The 18,794-nt window shown below is 40.2% G+C and overlaps 1 protein-coding gene across 6 annotated transcripts in view, besides 1 other annotated feature; it reads right to left on the bottom strand.

Annotated features, from left to right (window-relative positions):
* Positions 1 to 18,794, bottom strand: part of TYW1 (tRNA-yW synthesizing protein 1 homolog) — a 242,682-nt gene that overhangs the window by 179,842 nt on the left and 44,046 nt on the right. For 4 of the 6 annotated variants that reach the window (NM_018264.4, XM_011516372.4, XM_047420568.1 and 1 more), the window contains exons 8-9: positions 9,607 to 9,724; positions 3,786 to 3,838 (exon numbers count right to left, since the gene is read on the bottom strand). In NM_018264.4, the coding sequence (NP_060734.2) occupies positions 3,786 to 3,838; positions 9,607 to 9,724 (171 nt within the window). The remainder of the gene's footprint in view (positions 1 to 3,785; positions 3,839 to 9,606; positions 9,725 to 18,794) is intronic. The other 2 variants (NR_134540.2, XM_017012392.3) reach the window with 1 other exon arrangement.
* Positions 1,872 to 2,052: a silencer, noted in NCBI's record as "fragment chr7:66522608-66522788 (GRCh37/hg19 assembly coordinates)". NCBI's record gives its function as "represses an EF-1alpha promoter that drives an FKBP-Casp9 reporter gene in an ReSE screen in both phorbol 12-myristate 13-acetate-treated (for megakaryocytic differentiation) and untreated K562 erythroleukemia cells {active_cell/tissue: K562 | K562(+PMA)}" and the evidence as "EXISTENCE:reporter gene assay evidence [ECO:0000049][PMID:32094911]".

Here is an 18,794-nt window from a genome sequence, read left to right as displayed (position 1 = left end):
GTTAAGAAAAACAGAAGCAGGGAAGACCATGAGGAGAGTTATCTTGTATGCCTGGTAATGAAAAAGACTCTACAAAAACCACAACCTTGCACAAAGGCTACCACGACCTTATACAAAAAAATGCTTCTCTGCCAACGTCATCTGCCCAGCAACTGCCAGCCTACCCTCAGACTGCCGTCACCCTTGTTACTGATCTTTGCAGCCAATGATAATTATTTCAAAACAATTACATAATCCTCCTCAATTTTTCCTTTAAAAATCTTTGTCTTTGGCCAGGCACGGTGGCTCACGCCTGTAATCCCAGCACTTTGGGAGACCAAGGTAGGTGGATCACGAGGTCAGGAGATCGAGACCATCCTGGCTAACAAGGTGAAACCCCGTCTCTACTAAAAATACAAAAAAAAAATTAGCCGGGAGTGGTGGCGGGCGCCTGCAGTCCCAGCTACTCAGGAGGCTGAGGCAGGAGAATGGTGTGAACCTGGGAGGCAGAGCCTGCAGTAAGCTGAGATCACACCACTGCACTCCAGCCTGGGTGACAGAGCGAGACCCTGTCTCAAAAAAAAAAAAAAAAAAAAACTTTGTCTTCATTGACTTATACTAACTCACAAAACATTAAAAAGTATACTGTCTTCCTGTACCTCCCCAAAAACACAGTTTACTGTGGCTTGCATATTCCCATTGCAATGCTCTATTCCAAAATAACCATCATTTTCTTCTAGAGAGCCCCTCTCTGTTTGTTATTCAGGTTGACAAAAGTCTTCAACAAATGGTGCCAAAACAACTGGATATCCATATTGGCAGAGGTGGGATAAATCTTAACCTTTACCTCACATCATTCATAAAAATTGATTCAAGACGAATCACAGGCCCAAACATAAAAGTTAAAACTACATATGGGGCCAGGCACAGTGGCTCATGACTATAATCCCAGCACTTTCAGAGGCCAAGGCAGGCAGATCACCTGAGTCCAAGAGTTCAAAACCAGCATGGGCAACATGATGAAACCCTGTCTCTACAAAAAATACAAAAAAAAAACTTTTGCCAGGCATGGTGGCACACTACTTGGGAGGCTGAGGAGGGAGGATCACTTCAGCCCAGGAGGTGGGAGGCTGCAGTGAGCCGAAATTGCACCACTACACTATAGACTGGATGACAGGGCAAGACTCTACCTCAAAAAAATAAACAATTTTTAAAAATGGCTTCTTCCACACAGGTTGCTTAGGAGGAATCTGCCCAAGCAACTCTGTCCGCCCCCTCGGCCAATGACCCCCTGAAGAGCTCCTGCCACACCGCTCTAGGAATACAGACATTGAAGTCTGGGGACAATATGTTTATATAACTTCTGTATCAAAACTAAAGACCTGCTATGGCAGTGAAAAAAGAAACTGAATTTGTCATTTTCACCTAAAGAAAAACGACAGACAAAAATCAAACCTGTAGGCCAGGCGCAGTGGCCTACGCCTGTAACCTCAGCACTTTGGGAGGCCAAGGCGGGTAGATCACGAGGTCAGGAGATTGAGACCATCCTGGCTAACACGGTGAAACCCTGTCTCTACTAAAAATACAAAAAATTAGCCGGGCATGGTGGCGGGTGCCTGTAGTCCCAGCTACTCGGGAGGCTGAGGCAGGAGAATGGCGTGAACCCGGGAGGCAGAGCTTGCAGTGAGCCGACGAAGCTTCTAGAAGAAAATCTAGAATATCTTTGTGACCTTGTGGTTGGCAGAAATGTCTTAAAATACAAAAAACACTAACCATAAAAGAAAAATATGATATAGTGAACTGTATCCAAATTAAAATTTTCAAAAGATACCTTTATGGAAATAGAAAAGCCACAGTCTAGAGAAATATTCACAATGCACATTCAACAAAAGATTCACATCCACAACATATAAAGAACTTCTAGAAATCAATAATATAGAGTCAAACAACCAAGTTTGAACAAAGATGTGAACAGACATTTCACAAGTATAAACAGCCAATACGCACAACACAAGATGTTCTTGGCTGGGCATGGTGGCTCACGCCTATAATCCCAGCACTTTGGGAGGCTGAGGTGCATGGATCGCTTGAGGTCAGGAGTTTGAGACCAGCCTGGCCAACATAGTGAAACCCCGTCTCAACTAAAAATACACAAATTCAAAACTTAGCTGGGCGTGTTGGCACACGCTTGTAATCCCACTTACTCAGGAGACTGAGACATGATAATCACTTGAACCCAGGAGGTGCAGTGATACAAGATTGCACCACTGCACTCCAGCCTGGGTGAGACAACGAGACTCTGTCTCGAAAAAAAAAAAACAAAAAAAATGTTCCCAATCATCAACCATCACCAGCAAAATGTAAATTAAAACCACAATGAGGGCCAGGCACGGTGGCTCAAACCTGTAATCCCAGCACTTTGGGAGGCCGAGGTGGGCAGATCACGAGGTCAAGAGATCAAGACCATCCTGGCTAACATGGTGAAACCCCATCTCTACTAAAAATAGAAAAATTAGCTGGGCGTGGTGGTGCGCGCCTGTAGTCCCAGCTACTAGGGAGGCTGAGGCAGGAGAATCATTTGAACCCAGGAGGCGGAGGTTGCAGTGAGCCAAGATCATGACACTGTACTCCAGGATGGCAACAGAGCGAGACTCCATCTCAAAAAAAAAAAAAAGAAAAGAAAAAACTCAATGAGGTACCACTTCACAACCACTTCACAACCATGAAAATGCCTAAAATTAAAAGACAATACCACATGATGGTGAGAATGTGCAACAAATGGAACTTTCATAAATTGCTGAGCAAGTATAAAGTAGTACAACCACACTGACAACAGTTTCGGAGTTTCTTCTAAAGTTAAATATATACCTACTCTATGACTTAACAATTGCACTTCTAGGCATTTACCCAAGGAAAACTGAAATTTACATTCACAAAGTCTTGTGAAGAATGCTCATAGCACTTTTTTTCATAATAGCCAAAAATTAAAAACAGACCAAATGTCTATTTACAGATCTTTAAAAACTGGTATATTCATACAATGGCATACTACTGAGCAATAAAAGTGAATGAACTACTGATGCATGTTACATGATACGACACGGATGCATCTCAAAAATATGTTGAGTTTAAGAAGCCAGTTGCAAAAGACTGCACATTACATGATTCCACTCATATGAAATTCTTTTTTTTTTTTTTTTTGAGATGGAATCTCACTCTTATCACCCAGGCTGGAGTGCAGTGGCAAGATCTGGGCTCACTGAAACCTCTGCCTCCTGGGTTCAAGTGATTCTCCTGCCTCAGCCTCCCGAATAGCTGGGATTACAGACGCCCACCACCACACCTGACTAATTTTGATATTTTTAGTAGAAACGGGGTTTCACCATTTTGGCCAGGCTGGTCTCGAACTCCTGACCTCAAATGATCCGCCCACCTGGCCTCCGAAAGTGCTAGGATTACAGGCGTGAGCCACTGCATCTGGCCACTCATATGAAATTCTAAAAAGGCAAAGCCAAATAACAGTAATAGCAATTAGAACAAGAATTCCCTAGGGAAAGGGAGTTATTGACTAGAAATGGGCACAATAAATTCACTGGGGTGGGGATAATAACTTATATCTTAATTGGAGTTGGTGAATATAGGTTCTACATCAAAATTTGCTGAACTCATTTTAAAGAATCATTTAAAAATCTGTGCAAATTAAATGTAAATTATACCTCTAAATAGTAAATTTATAGACAGTGTATAATAATAGCTATTTAAAAGTTGCATGTAATAGACATATTGAATAAAAACAAAAAAAATACCTTTGTCCACCTGCAAAGCTTCACCCCCGAGTGGCTCCCAATCAACTGATAACCTGAGTGGAAAAGCAGGGAACACAAAGTTGGACTGATCCAAAGCGTCATATCAAAAAGTGACTTTAAAATTTAGCAAAAATTTTTTTTTTTTTTTGCTAAATTATTGCAGTCAACCAACCCATGGCAGGAAACATTAAAGATTTAATTCAGCAAGATGAGAAAACAATTTAAAATCTATATGTATCTAATAATATAGACTCAAAATACATAAAGAAATGATCTTTTTTTTTTTTTTTTAAGACAGTCCCGCTCTGTCACCCAGGCAGGAGTGCAGTGTTGTGATCTCAGCTCACTGCAGCCTCTGCCTCCTGGGTTTAATAGATTCTCATGCCTCAGACTCCCGCGTAATTGGGACTACAGTTGTGCTTCACCCTGCCAGGCTGATTTTTTTGTATTTTCAGTAGGAATGGGGTATCACCATGTTGGCCAGGCTGGTCTCGAACTCCTGTCCTCAAGTGATCCATCTACCTCCGCCTCCCAAAGTGCTGGGATTACAAGCGTGAGCCACCACACCCAATCATGAAACAATAAATTAATCCAAAAATTATACGAGGAGATTTTAACCTCTCTGTCTCTAACAGATCTCATAGGTAAAAACTCGGTAAAGCTCTAAAAGATGTAAGCAACACAACACATAAACTTGACCAAAAACATACAGAGCCCTGCACTCATCAACTATAGAATTTACATTCTTTCATGGACCAGTGAAACATTTATAAAAATGAACGGTATGCTGGGCCATAAAACAAAAGTAATGATATATTTCAAATGAACGGGGAGCTATCATCAGTAATCTTTGAAAGAAGATGAAGAACCAGATGTCAATGGGAGATTAAAACAAAGTAATGCTGACCCAAAGAGAGAAAAATCAAATTCTAGGAACTACATCTTAAACGTGAATTCTCAGTAGCACTATAACCTGTCATTTCAAATTTTTGAGCTACATAGGACATGAAAAGCATGGAAAAAGCCAGGCCAAAGTAATCTCATTTCCTTTTTAAACAAACTAGTAGTACAAACAAGTAGTACATTCTGATTTCAGAAAGCATTCAATACCGTTTCTCATGAGGCTTCAGGTAATAAGCCACAATTATCATGAGTCGCTCTCACAAAAAGACTCTTGCAGGCAAATAAGGCAAATGGAGAAATACAGTCTGGATGACAGCATAAGTGGATCAGTGGCTGGTTAAACAACCATATTCATACTGTGATGATTATTGGAGCAATGTCAATTTTGATTACAAGTTTCCAGTGGTAACATTTACAGGGCTTTGTCTTGTATCCTCTTCTGTATTTATGTAAACATCTTGCATATAAATAAACAAAGGACTGCTTATGTACTCCAAGGTGGAACTGAGTCCAATTGAGTAACTCATCTCTGATACCAAATATGCATTTAAAAGATCCCCAGAGGAAATTCTAGTTCTTCTCTTGGAATTCCATATTATACTGTTCATACTATCATAGAAATCATCCTCTATTATATTAACTCTTTATATTTTTCTCTCCCAAGATACATAGGTTTCTATAAATTTTGCATTTAGGTAAAGAAAAAAAACTGTACATTACAGAATGAAGAGATCTGTAGTTGACCACAGCACAAATATAAGCCAACAGTGTACAGTTGCTGAAAATAATAGTGTGGAATTCTGCTTCTAGCCAAGATGGAATAACAAAGAGGATTTACAATCCTACTTGAAATACCAAAAAATGGACAAAATATATGAAACAACAGATTTCAGAACATGAGACATCAGGCAACAAAGGATGGTGATCCCATAGAGATAGGAAACAATTAAGGTGAGCCCTCCCATTACCTTGGCTTACTGTCTAGAAACCTTCCAGGCCATGTAGCAAAGAGAGACTACCCAAGCGAAGCCCAGTGGACTCTTGAGTTTGGAAAATGCAACAGAGCCTGGGGAGACAAAGGTGGCTACAGTTTGCAGGATTGAAAGCTAGAGAGATGAAACCTACAAAGAGACTCCAAGAGTCTACAGGGGATTTCTCTCAAGTATTTGCCCAAGTACTGTTCAGCACATTCACAAGAGAAACACTACCCAAGGATGGGAAAGAACCATTTTTGGAAGACTAGACATTTAGAGAAGAAACAATTACTGAACTTGAAGACACAGTGATAGAAACTATCCCAAATGGGATGGGCATGGTGGCTCACACCTGTAAATCCCAGCACTTTGGGAGGCCAAGGCGGGTGGATCACCTGAGGTCAGGAGTTTGAGAACAGTCTGATCAACATGGTGAAACCCTGTCTCTACTAAAAATATAAAAATTAGCCAGGCGTGGTGGCGTATGCATGTAATCCCAGCTACTCGGGAGGCTGAGGCAGGAGAATCGCTTGAACTCAGGAGGAGGAGGATGTGGTGAGCCAAGATCACACCACTGCACCCCAGACTGGGCAACAAGAGTGAAACTCCATCTCAAAAAAAAAAAAAAAAGAAACAAACTATCCCAAATGAAAAGAGGGAGAGAGGAAGGGAAGGACTGGGGGCAATGCCTGATGCTTACAGCAGGCTGAGAATTGTACCTGCTTCTGCCAGTCAGACTAGAAATCTAAAGATGCACAAGTCATTAGGTAGACTACAAATAGAAGTGTTTTGCCTCAACAGTGAAGAATAATTAGCCCCATATTGAGCCAGCTCTTGTCTCATCTAAGAAGCCATAAAAGTAAGATATAAAGCTCATATTATTTCCAAGTAACTTAACCTTGTCCCAGGAAAAAAAAAAAAAAAAAAAAGCTTAAAACTGTTTATAAGAGTGTTTATATAAAAATATCCAGGCCAGGCACCGTGGCTCAAGCCTGTAATCCCAACAGTTTGGGAGGCCAAGGTGGGCAGATCAGGAGGTCAGGAGATCGAGACCATCCTGGCTAACACGGTAAAACCCCGTCTCTACTAAAAATACAAAAAATTAGCCAGGCGTGGTAGTGGGCACGCAATTACTCAGGAGGCTGAGGCAGGTGAATCACTTGAGGCAGGAGAATCGCTTGAACCCGGGAGGCAGAGGTTGCAGTGAGCCAAGATCACGCCACTGCACTCCGGCCTGGGCAACAGAGTGAGACTCCGTCTCAAAATAAATAAATAAATAATAAAAATAAAAATACCCAGTACCTAATAAGGTAAAATTAGGTCTGACATCCAATCAAAGATATGAAGTATGCAAACAGACAGGAAAACATGACGAATGAGGGAAAAAATCCATCAACCAAAGCTGATCCAGAAATGACAAAGACATTAGCAGATTAGGACATTAAAACAGTTATAACTGTTTTCTATAGGCTCAAAAAGGTAATAGATGTGGAAAATATAAAAAGACCCAAACTGAACTTCTAGAAATGAAAACTACAATGTCTAAGTTGAAAAACATATTACATAGGATTAACGGAACATGAGACATTACAGAAGAAAGATTATTGAACTTGAAAACATAGCAATAGAAACTAACCAAAATGAAAAGTGAGACAGAAGAAAGAACTTTTTTTAAATGAATAGAACATGAGTGAGTTGTGGGTCAAATTCAAGCAGATTATTACATATATAACTGTAGTCTTCTAGGAAGCAAGTGGGTGGGTGGGGAGGAGAATATTTGAAGAAATAATGGCCAAAATTTGTCCGAATTTCATGAAGACCATAAATCCACAAAACCAAGACACTCAACAAAACCCAAATAAAAGAAACATGAAGAAAACTAAACTGAGGCACATTATAATTAAATTGCTCAAAATCAGCCTTAAGAGAAAATCTTCCAAGTAGCAGGGGGTTGGGAGAAGGAGGATCCTATTTAAAGGAACAAACAAAAGGATGACTGATTGCTGAACTCTAATCAGAAGCAATGTGAGTAAGAGGACAGTGGAGTAACATCTGTAAAACACTGAAGGAAAAAACAGCTGTCAACCTACAATTCTATATCCAGCAAAAAATTACTGAACTTGAAGACACAGTGATAGAAAATGAAGGCAAAGTAAAGCCATTTTCAGATATACGAAAGCTGAAAGAATTCACCACCAACAAACCTGCACTACAAGAGATGTTCAAAAAGTCCTTGGAGTCGCCACAGGTAAGCTTAAATTAGAAAAAAAAAAAAAAACAAAAAAACAAAAACAGTCCTTCAGGCAGATGGAAAAGGATACCAGACGGAACACAGATCTACATGAATAAGACATGGCAACTACATGAGTACTGAAAATAGTAACTACATAAGTAAATATGTAAGATTCTAAGATTCTAAGTATATAAATCTTTAGTACATAATTAAATAGATGTTTTGATTGGGTTAGATATAAAAATAGGTATTTTTGTTGAAGAAAAAAATAATAATAAAGTGTAGGCTTTAGAGCATACGTAAAACACTCAGTGTGGTGGCTTACACCTGTAGTCTCAGCTATTCAGGGGGATGAGGCAGGAGGATTCCTTGAGCCCAGGAGTTCAAGGCTACAGTGAGCCATGATCATACCACTGCACTCCAGCCTAAGCAAAAGAGCAAGACCCGACTCAACCAAAAAACAAAAGTAAAAGTAAAATGTGTGATAAAAATTACATATGGGTTAAGAAAGAAATAATGGAAGTATAGTACTGTAAGGTTCTTCTACACATTGAGTGAGATAACATCACTCAAAGATATACTATGAAATGATAAAGTAGTATGGTGTAGGCCAGGTGCAGTGGCTCACACCTGTAATCCCAGCACTTTGGGAGGCTGAGGCGGCAGATCACACTTGAGGCCAGGAGTTCAAGACCAGCATGGCCAACATGGCAAAAAAATTAGCTGAGCATGGTGGCATATGTCTCTAGTCCCAGCTGCTCAGGAGGCTAAAGCAGGAGAATCACTTGAACCCAGGAGGCAGAGGTTGCAGTGAGCCAAGATTATGCCACTGCACTCCAGACTGGGTGAGAGAGACTCTGTCTCAAAGAAAAAAAAAGAGGTATAGTGTAAAACCTTGAGCAACTATTCGTGAAAATGTTATTGCTAGTAAGCAAACAAAATATAAAATAGAGTCATTTTTAAAAAATGAATTAATTTGAAAGAACACAGAAAAACAGGAAAAGGGAAATCAAAAAGCAGATGAAATAGAAAATAGCAAGATAAATTTAAATCTATAATGAAATCACATTAATATAATCTACCCTAATTAAAATATAGACATAGATATTAAAATACAAACATATATATATTTCTCTAGTGCACCAGACCGACGGTTCCTTGAAGCAGATATAGTTTCCTGTGTTTCTCTGCATTGCCAGAACGGTCACATAAAAGGCCTCTCATAAATATAGAGGGGAAGTGGGGAGGGGGATGAAGGAAAGGAGGTCGGTCTACTGATTCCCATTTTACTACTCTTTCCTCCACAGGAAACTAATATTATTACTCATTCATGCAACTATAACCTCCTTAATAAGGTAAGACCACAAAAACCCAGATATGACACCTCTACATAAACACTTCTAATTAACCCAGTCTCATATCATATAAGCTTTTCTATGCATTTTTAATAGCTTTCCCAATGACAGCACTTTTGATCTGTGAACTTGACCCACACTGATAGTAATATCCCAATAAACCAAGAAAAAAGGTAACTCACTGGTGCAGGCAGCCAACAGAAGCAATCCGCAGAAATAAAAAGGTAAATCTTTAGACTGTTATATCTGCCACTATGAACAGCTGCTGAGCTAATTAGAGAGAGACTTCATTCCAGGTATCAAATGAGAATGCCTAAGACTACAGTCATATAACAACAATTCTTGAAGATTTTCACCTTGTTTAGTAAGGGCTTCTCGGAGAGCAGGAGTTATCATAGCTCTTCTTTCACCATCTTCATTCCTCCCCATGTTCCTGAACAAACCAGACTTCTCTTCCTGCTGTTCCTTTTCTCTCTGCATTAAAATAAAAAAGAATGAAATCCAGAATTGGTAATGTGCAATGTAAATAACAGCACAATCATGAACACCTAGCATCAATAAAAAGGTCCATTATGAGGCCGGGCACGGTGGCTCACGCCTGTAATCCCAGCATTTTAGGAGGCCAGGGCAGGCGGATCACCTGAGGTCAGGAGATCGAGACCAGCCCGGCCAAGATGGTGAAACCTCATCTCTACTAAAAACACAAAAATTAGCTGGGGATGGTGGCTCACACCTGTAATCCCAGCTACTCAGGAGGCTGAGGCAGGAGAATCACTTGAACCCAGAAAACGAAAGTTGCAGTGAGCCGAGATCACACCACCGTACTCCAGCCTGGGCAACAGAGAAAGACTCCATCTCAAAAAATAAATAATTATAAATAATTTAAAAAAAAATTTTTAAAAAGGGCTGTTATGAACCATGGCCCACAAAACCCATCCTCTCCAAAGTGAACACAATCCCAATGAGACAACAATCTAAAGACATGCCAGGATGCTCTTTTGTTAAGTAACTATATACTCAAACATACATATCCAAAAACCATAAATCTACAATTCACTTATCTAAGTGTCAAACATTTTCAGCAATCTCAGTACAGATAGCTGCCTTACTTTAGCAAGTTGTTTATTTTCTCTGAATTTCAATTTCCTCACCTGAAAAGGGCGAAAAATAATAATAGCAATAGAGAAGAAATATGTTGAAGGTTAAATGCAATAAAATCACAGCACAACCCCTGATGTACAATAGGCGTTCAATAAATTAGAGCTGCTGCTGGTATTACATCTCTAAACCCCAAAAACAAATGAAAAAAGTACTCTAAGCCACCCTGAGAGCCATCGGCTCAGAGACCAAGTTATCCCACTACCACCAACAGCCATCCCAATGGTTCCTTCTCCTTTATTTTATTTTTTGAAACAGAGTCTCGCTTTGTCACCCAGGCCAGAGTGCAATGGCACGATCTTGGCTCACTGCAAACACCACCTCCCGGGTTCAAGCAATTCTCATGCCTCAGCCTCCCAAGTAGCTGGGACTACAGGCATGCTAATTTTTTTGTATTTTTAGTATAGACAGGGTTTCGCCATGTTGGCCAGGCTGGTCTGAAACTGCTGGCCAATGTCTACTTCTAGAAGATCCTATGCAGGATATTTTTCTTCAGTGATAGAAAAAGAAACACTTAAGAAATCCAAAGGATAATATAAAAATAATTGTGTTTCCTGTTGACTTTGGCCACCAGGAAATTTCACCAGCACACCTTTGATTACTGTTACAAAACCTTGCAGCATGTTGGTCTTCTATTCATTGTAACTGGCTTGATATGACAAGATGACCCTCATTCACTCTTTCCACTGATTTCTTCTTCTCTTTTTAAAAGTTTATTTGTGTACATTTTTAGGGATATCTCCCTATCTTTTTGGGAATGGCAGAGTGCTGAGTAATAATTTCAGAGACAACACACGAGATCTGTGTTACACTTTAGGGGAGATACTCATCAAATCTTACTGACAGCTGCAGAAATTCACAATAACTCATCCAGGCAGTGGCCCTACCACCAAGCCCCAGCCCACCCTTGGTCCCTGTCTATTTTAAATGTCCAGCCATCCAGCCCCCAGGTGAATAAGTGAATGGACTCACCGTAACACCATTTCTACTTTAACATGAGAATATCTCACAGATGAGGTCTGACATTTGCTTCAAACTAAAACAGAAAGGGGTATACAAAGGGTACCTAGGGGAGGATGGCCCATAAGTTGCTGGTTGATGAGGCCAGGCAATAGGTAATAAGAATTCACTATATCACTCTGTGTACTTTTGAGAACATTCAATGTCCCCCATATGTGGCTGGGCACGTTGGCTCACGCCTATAATCCGAGCACTATGGGAGGCCGAGGCAGGTGGATCACCTGAGGTCAGGAGTTCGAGACCAGCCTGGCCAACATGGGGAAACCCTGTCTCTACTAAAAATACAAAAATTAGCCAGGCATGGTGGCGGGCACCTATAATCCCAGCTACCAGGGAGGCTGAGGCAGGAGAATCACTTGAACCCGGGAGGCGGAGGTTACGGTGAGCCAAGACTGTGCCACTGCACTCCAGCCTGGGCGACAGAGACTCTGCCTCAAAAAAAAAAAAAAAAAAAAAAAAAATTGACACTCACAGAAAGTAAGTGAAATTTGGAGTCAATATCTCTACATTCTCTGTTACTTCAGGGACATGCTCTGAAATAGGAGATCAGTGAAAAAAGTACTTTAGAGAATCAAATGTACCAAATGAGAAAAAAAAAAAAAAGTCGCATTAAGTCCTATCTGTCCTAAAAGTCAGCATTCCAAATTACTAAATATAATCAAAATGCAAGGCAAATGAACATTTTTGCTTCCAGTAATAGGGTTCTTAATTACACATTACTGGATGGAGCTGAAAAAATTCATAAACAAACATTGATCATTTGTTCTTATAATAAATGTAATTAGCTTAATGCTAGGCCTTTTATACAAATAAAAAGGCTCCAGTTATTATTTTATTAAGATAGTTTAAAATAGAAGGAATCCTTTGCCTTTTGTTTTCTGAGATGAAGTCTCGCTATGTTGCCCACGCTGGTCTCAAACTCCTGGGCTCAAGCGACCCTCCCGCCTCAGCTACCCAAGTAGTTTGCTTTGTTTTTTTTAATCTAAAAGCAAAGGTGTGAGCTTGATAAAGAAGTCTTGTGGTGAAGCAAAATGAAAAAATCTCAACCTTGAAAGCATTTAAATTATCTGAAGCAATTCTATAGCAAGTCTTTATAATTCCTCTACAAATCATGTAAAAAATTGATAAGACATGGCAGTATTTGCCCTCAAAAGCCTCTGTCACCACAAAACATCACCAGCTTATTTGCTTAACCCAAAGGCCAGATAAATCCAAAACTGGACCGAGGTCCATGACACTGGCCTCTGACCACTATGCCCAAAGCTCCACAGACACCTTCTTGGGGTTTTAAACAGAGACTTCTGTCCCCTACAAAATGAACAGACTCCAAAGGACGGCCATGGAATACTGTCCCTGTCCCTTCACTAGAGAAAGTATCTATTATAAAATGTGAGTGTTGCAACCCCAGAGTCAGTCATAAGGGCAATGATTAAAAGTCTTGAGCACTCAGGACAAACAAAATTCATCACTCCTTCCCACTAAGGCAGCTCAGTCCTATCCTCCATATGCAGTAGTAATTTCGTTTCTGAAAAGAAATGTAATGGTTTATAACACTCCGCAAGGGAGTTGAATGCACCATTCAAATTCTAACTCTAATCTGCTAGGTGCAGACATTGTTTACTCTCTGCCCAGAATGTAACAATATAACAACCATGTAAGATCCATATATTTTTGTGTATTTATTCATTTATAGCTGTTACATGGCCTAAACAGAAATAAATAAGATCCCAGAATCAGCCAACCTTGATTTCTTCCTCTCCTGTACCATCCCATTTAAAGATGAGTGGCCAAGTTCTGTAACCACATAACTAGCCCAATCTGGTTCAATTATGTGTAGTAAACTAGTAAGTTGTATTTCAGTTGCCACGAACCCCCAGGTTGTAGGTCAGGTAACTCGAGCACAGATGAACCCAGTGTGCCCAATGCGTGATACCAGAGGCAATCAGAACTAAAAAGTCAACCACAAGCAGAACCAAAGGGCTCGGATCAGGGAAAAGAGAGAATTAAGAAGCAAGCCTCGGCATCACCTCAGGGCATGCGCCAATCAGATCATGTCTTGGCATCACCTCACGGCATGCTCCAATCAAATCACACCTCCTGGCTTCACTTCGTTGCAAGATCCAATCAGATCACACTTCACTAATTATACTGCCTCATATTAATCCCTCTGCCTATAAAACCTGCCCCAGCCTCTAACTCAGGGAGACAGATTTGAGTGTTTCTTCCTATCTCCTTGCCAGTCGACTCCCAATAAAGCCTTTCTTTTTTTAAAAGCCAGTGCCACAGTATTGGCTTCTATATACATCCAGCAGTGAGCCCATTGCCCAGTAAAACAGTTCTAGGGTTTCATTTCCCAACATAACTGTTCTCTCCATCTACAATGCCACCATTCTTGTCCACGGCCTTGATTTCTCCTAAGGGACAATGGCAAAAGCCAAACTAAATGGCCTCCCTGTCTCCAACCTCTACTTCCACTCCTCCCATCTCCCATACCCATCACACTTGCCTTGAAAGAAAACTCATGTCCTCGCCAAGCTGCAGTGGCCTGACATGCAACCAGGAAAGGCAATTATGAGCTAACTTCCTAAGCACTTATGAAAATGGCAATGAATACACAAAACGTTCTTTATAAACTGACAGGACTACATGAATCTTACAGAATAATAGTAATAAAGCAGTGGTGCTAATGTTTTTTGTTTGTTTTTGTTTTAAATATCATACGATACTGGTTGGGTACAGTGGCTCATGCCTGTAAACCCAGGACTTTTAGAGGCCAAGGCAGGAAGACTGGTTGAGCCAAGGAATTGGAAACCAGCCTGGGCAACATAGTGAGATCTCAGCTCTACAAAAAAAAAATTTTTTTTTAATTAGCCAGGTGTGGTGGCATGTGCCTGTCATCTGAGCTACTTGGGAGGCTGAGGTGGCAGAATCACTTGAGCACAGGAGTTCAAGGCTGTGGTGAGCTATGATCACACCACTGCACTCTAGCATGGGTTACAAAGCAAGACCCTGTCTCTAAAAATAAAAAAAATTTAAAAAAAAAATCATACGATACCACTTAATTCATTTTGATACCATCATCCCAGAAACCACAGTACCACCCAATTTTGCCTAGGATAAAAACAAGGCCAAAACCTGATTTGCTGAAGACTTTAAGGTAAAATGCTATATAGTTGGAAACTGACAAACATGAGTTTTACAACAAACAAGCTTTTTCTTACCAAAACATACATTTCTCCTGGGAAAGAGTCTTTCTGATTGTTTGATCCTTTTTTACCATCAAGTGATTCCTTTTCTTATCAATTCCTATAGAAAAGGTTGGCTTGGCCGGGTGTGGTGGCTCACGTCTGTAATCCTAGCACTTTGGGAGGTGGAGGTGGGTGGATAACCTGAGGTCAGCAGTTTGAGACCAGTCTGGCCAACATGGTGAAACCCCATCTCTACTAAAAATACAAAAATTAGCCGGGCATGGTGGCAAAGGCCTATAATTTCAGCTACTGGGGAGGCTGAGGCACGAGAATCACTTGAACCCAGGAGGCAGAGGTTGCAGTGAGCCGAGATGGTGCCACCGCACTCCAGCCTGGGCAACAGACTCTGTCTCAAAGAAAAGAAAAAGAGAAGATTGGCTACAGAACGCCCAAATTCTCTAGAGGTCATTTTTCTAGACAGTCAACCTGGCTAGGCCTGGAGCCATGCCAGCACAGGATGGGCCTTCAGTAAATGTTGGTTGAATAAATGAAGAAATGCCTCAAAACTATCAGACAGCTATTTCCAGACCCGGAAACTTAGACCATACTTCTTTTAGTAACTAATTCTAAGCCTGGTAACTTTCAATATTAAAAACTCAGGTCGGACGTGGTGGCTCACACCTGTAATCCCAGCACTTTGGGAGGCTGAGGCGGGCAGATCACTTGAGGTCAGGAGTTCTAGAACAGCCTGGCCAACATGATGAAACCCATCTCTTCTGAAAATACAAAAATTAGCCAGGCGTGGTGGCATGCGCTTGTGGTCGCAGCTATTCAGGAGGCTGAGGCAGAAGAATCACTTGCACCTAGCAGGCAGAGGTTGCAATGAGCCAAGATCACACCTGGGCAACAAAGCAAGACTTCATCTCAAAAAAAAAAAAAAAAAAACTCTTATTCATGCTTAATTATACATGAAGTAGAGTTTTAATATTAATCTAAACTAATAAAAATTATATCACTGAAAAGGAATCACAGTAAAAAATTAAATTATTAATATTTAATAACTTTTGCTGCAATTTAACCCCACATTTAGATTCCTATTTCTTTAATAAATGAATCTCCAAGATATCACTCACTAGTCATGGTTCAGTTTTAAAATGACCAATTTTCACCATTACGCAAAGCTTTTGTATATACTGAGTTCTAAAAATGCCTTTTGAACTGGTGGAAAAGCAGCGTGCCCAAGCGTGTCAAGAGCTTTACTCTGACACCGTAATTCTATTTTGGATAACCTACCTTAACAAGATAACATGGGGACTCATTGCTAAGTGCTCCTAGCTACAGAGACCATGGTGAGTCAAGATGGTTTAAGGGCAGTGTATTGGGGTTGAAAGGATATCACCTCTTGTTTCTAGGTGAAGTAAACACTCCAAAGCCTTAAAAATAATTCTGAAACTAGCTTCCTGTTATTCCACTGCAATACCAACAGAAATTTATAATCAGAACTGGACATACTGAGATCCTTCTGCAATTTAAATAGCTGGCAAATGGAAATGTTTCTCCAGTGAGTAACTGTCAAGCATTTGCCATTTATTTCCAAAATTAATGATGCTGATGTTAGTGTTTGTCTGCTTAGCCAGAACATTGCTGTGGGGATTATTTAGCAACATTTATTTACTGCAGGAAAAAAAAAAAAAAAAGTAGCAATGGGCTTTACATTTACAAACCACAACATAAGAGAAAGAGAAAATAAACAATATAAAAATTATCAGGCTCCTCCTGACTCATGGTTCTCTAAACACTACAGCTTCTCTTCTGAGAACCACTCCTCCCTGGGGAAGCAGCCAAGAGGAGTGACACAGACAGATGGAGTCCAGGCTTGAGCCTGTCAACTTACCAGCCAACTGACGATGGACAAATTGCTTAAACTAAGCCTCAGTTGCTATCTGTTAAATGGTAAATTGCAGATGATAATAGTTTGATCATCTCAAGGTCACTGTGAGGATTGAGTGAGATAATCTAGTATGTATTTTGATTTCTCCTTTTTTCCTTTATTTTTTGAGACAGGGTTGTCTCAGGCTGTTGCCTAAGCTGGAGTACAGAGGCACAATCTCTGCTCACTGAAACCTCCATCTCTCAGGTTCAAGCGATTCTCCTGCCTCAGTCTCCCGAGTAGCTGGGATTACAGGCGTGTGCCACCACATCCCACTAACTTTTGTATTTTTAGTAGAAATGAGGTTTCGCCATGTTTGCCAGGCTGATCTTGAACTCCAGACCTCAGGTGATCCACCAGCCTCAGCCTCCCAAAGCTCTGGGATTACAGGCATAAGCCACTGCACCCGGCCTCCTAATATTTTAAACCTACACTGGAACTCTCCTCTCTCCCCACACCCGCTAACCCATTCTCCAATTCAATCAAATCACATTGCCTCCCACTGCCTTCAGGAGAAAGCTCAGCCCCCTCCACTGCAGGACTTGAGAAGCCTCTAGGATCCTACCCCATCTTCCTTCTCTATGTCACAGCTCCAAATATCCCTACCCCCAGTCAACTCTAGGCACACCAAACTGTTTAGGGTTCCCCAAACATGCCACCCCTAACACCCTATTCCTCCCATATCTCCATCTGTCTCCCTAACATTCCAGTGTTTCAAACTTTAGTGCTCTAGTTCTTAGAAACCACTCTCATACTTCAAATTATCTTCAGTCCTAGAAGAAGTCTTAAATAGTACTACAGAGGGAGGGAGGTAGAATACCAAGGTGGTGTTTTGGTAGGACCAAATCTATCCTATTTGAAGACATATACTTATATAAGCTAATTATTAACTATTATAGTTAATATATTCTAATTCTAATTATATTGAAATAATTAGTTAATATTATATTCTAATTCTAATTATATATTATACTAATAATATATAATTATATCAGAATAATTAGTTAAAATTATATTCTAATTCTAATTATATAATTGTTATATAATTCTAATATAATTATATAATTCTAATATAATTATATATTAATTCTAATATAATTATATAATTCTAATATAATTATACATTAATTCTAATAGAATTAGAATATAATGTTATTATATAAAAAATATATTAACTACTATACAAGAAAATACAATGCGGCTGGATTAACTTTTTCAATCTACATAAGAACTTTATAAGGCAGATACTGTTATCTCCCACATTACAAATGAGAAAACGGAAGCACAGAGGGGTAAAATAATTTGTCCAGATACACAAGCTGAGACGTATGACTCCATGAAAGTTAGTGAGTATTACTCAAAAACCAGTCTTACAATGACAGTGCTTCGACCCAACTCTTAAGCACTGGCACGTACTACTTCCCTCGACAGTAACAACTAAGGCAATTTCATGTGGTGTGTCATGGATGATCACGCGGAAAGCATTCGGGGAATGTGTGAGCCAGCCCCAAAGAAAATGCCAGAAAAAGCCAGGCTCAGTGGCTTGCACCTGTAATCCCAGCACTTCGAGAGGCTGAGGCAGGTGGATCACCTGAGGTCAGGAGTTCAAGACCAGCCTGGCCAACATGGCGAGGCACTGTCTCTACTAAAAATACAAAAATTAGCCGGGCGTGGTGGCGGGTGCTATAATCCCACCTACTGGGGAGGCTGAGGCAGAATTGCATGAACCCGGGAGGCGGGGGCTGCCATGAGATGATATTGTGCCACTGCACTCCAGCCTGGGCAACACAGCAAGACTGTCTCAAAAAAAAGAAAAGAAAAAACAAAATGCCAGAAAAAGAAAAGAAAAAGAAAAGCCAAGCAGTAAAAACCTCCAATGCCAAGTTTAGTATCCCATATCCCATAGAAATCGAAAACAAGATCTATTTGAACACCCTGCTGTAACCTAACAATCATGAAAAATGAAAACTGGTAGCTTATTTTGTGTCATACCAAAATTGGGAAAAAACACGTATTTTTCCCAAAGACCTGATGATTTTATGAGAGATTTTTATGAGAAATCTGAAATATCATAAACCAGCTGCTTAAAGCTCATAAAGCCCAAAATCATTTCATTTCAAAAAAATAATGTACATGGATGTCTGAAATCTTCATTAGTGTTTTCTCCAGTGCCCTCTAATGGCCATAAGATGAAAAAGCAAAGAAAATTACATACCCACAAATTATCCCAAACTCTTCACCCACTATA

Source organism: Homo sapiens, chromosome 7 (assembly GCF_000001405.40).
Source record: "Homo sapiens chromosome 7, GRCh38.p14 Primary Assembly".
NCBI lineage: Eukaryota > Metazoa > Chordata > Mammalia > Primates > Hominidae > Homo > Homo sapiens.
Note: the sequence above shows the minus strand (reverse complement) of the source record. Positions and strands in the feature narration are given on the sequence as shown.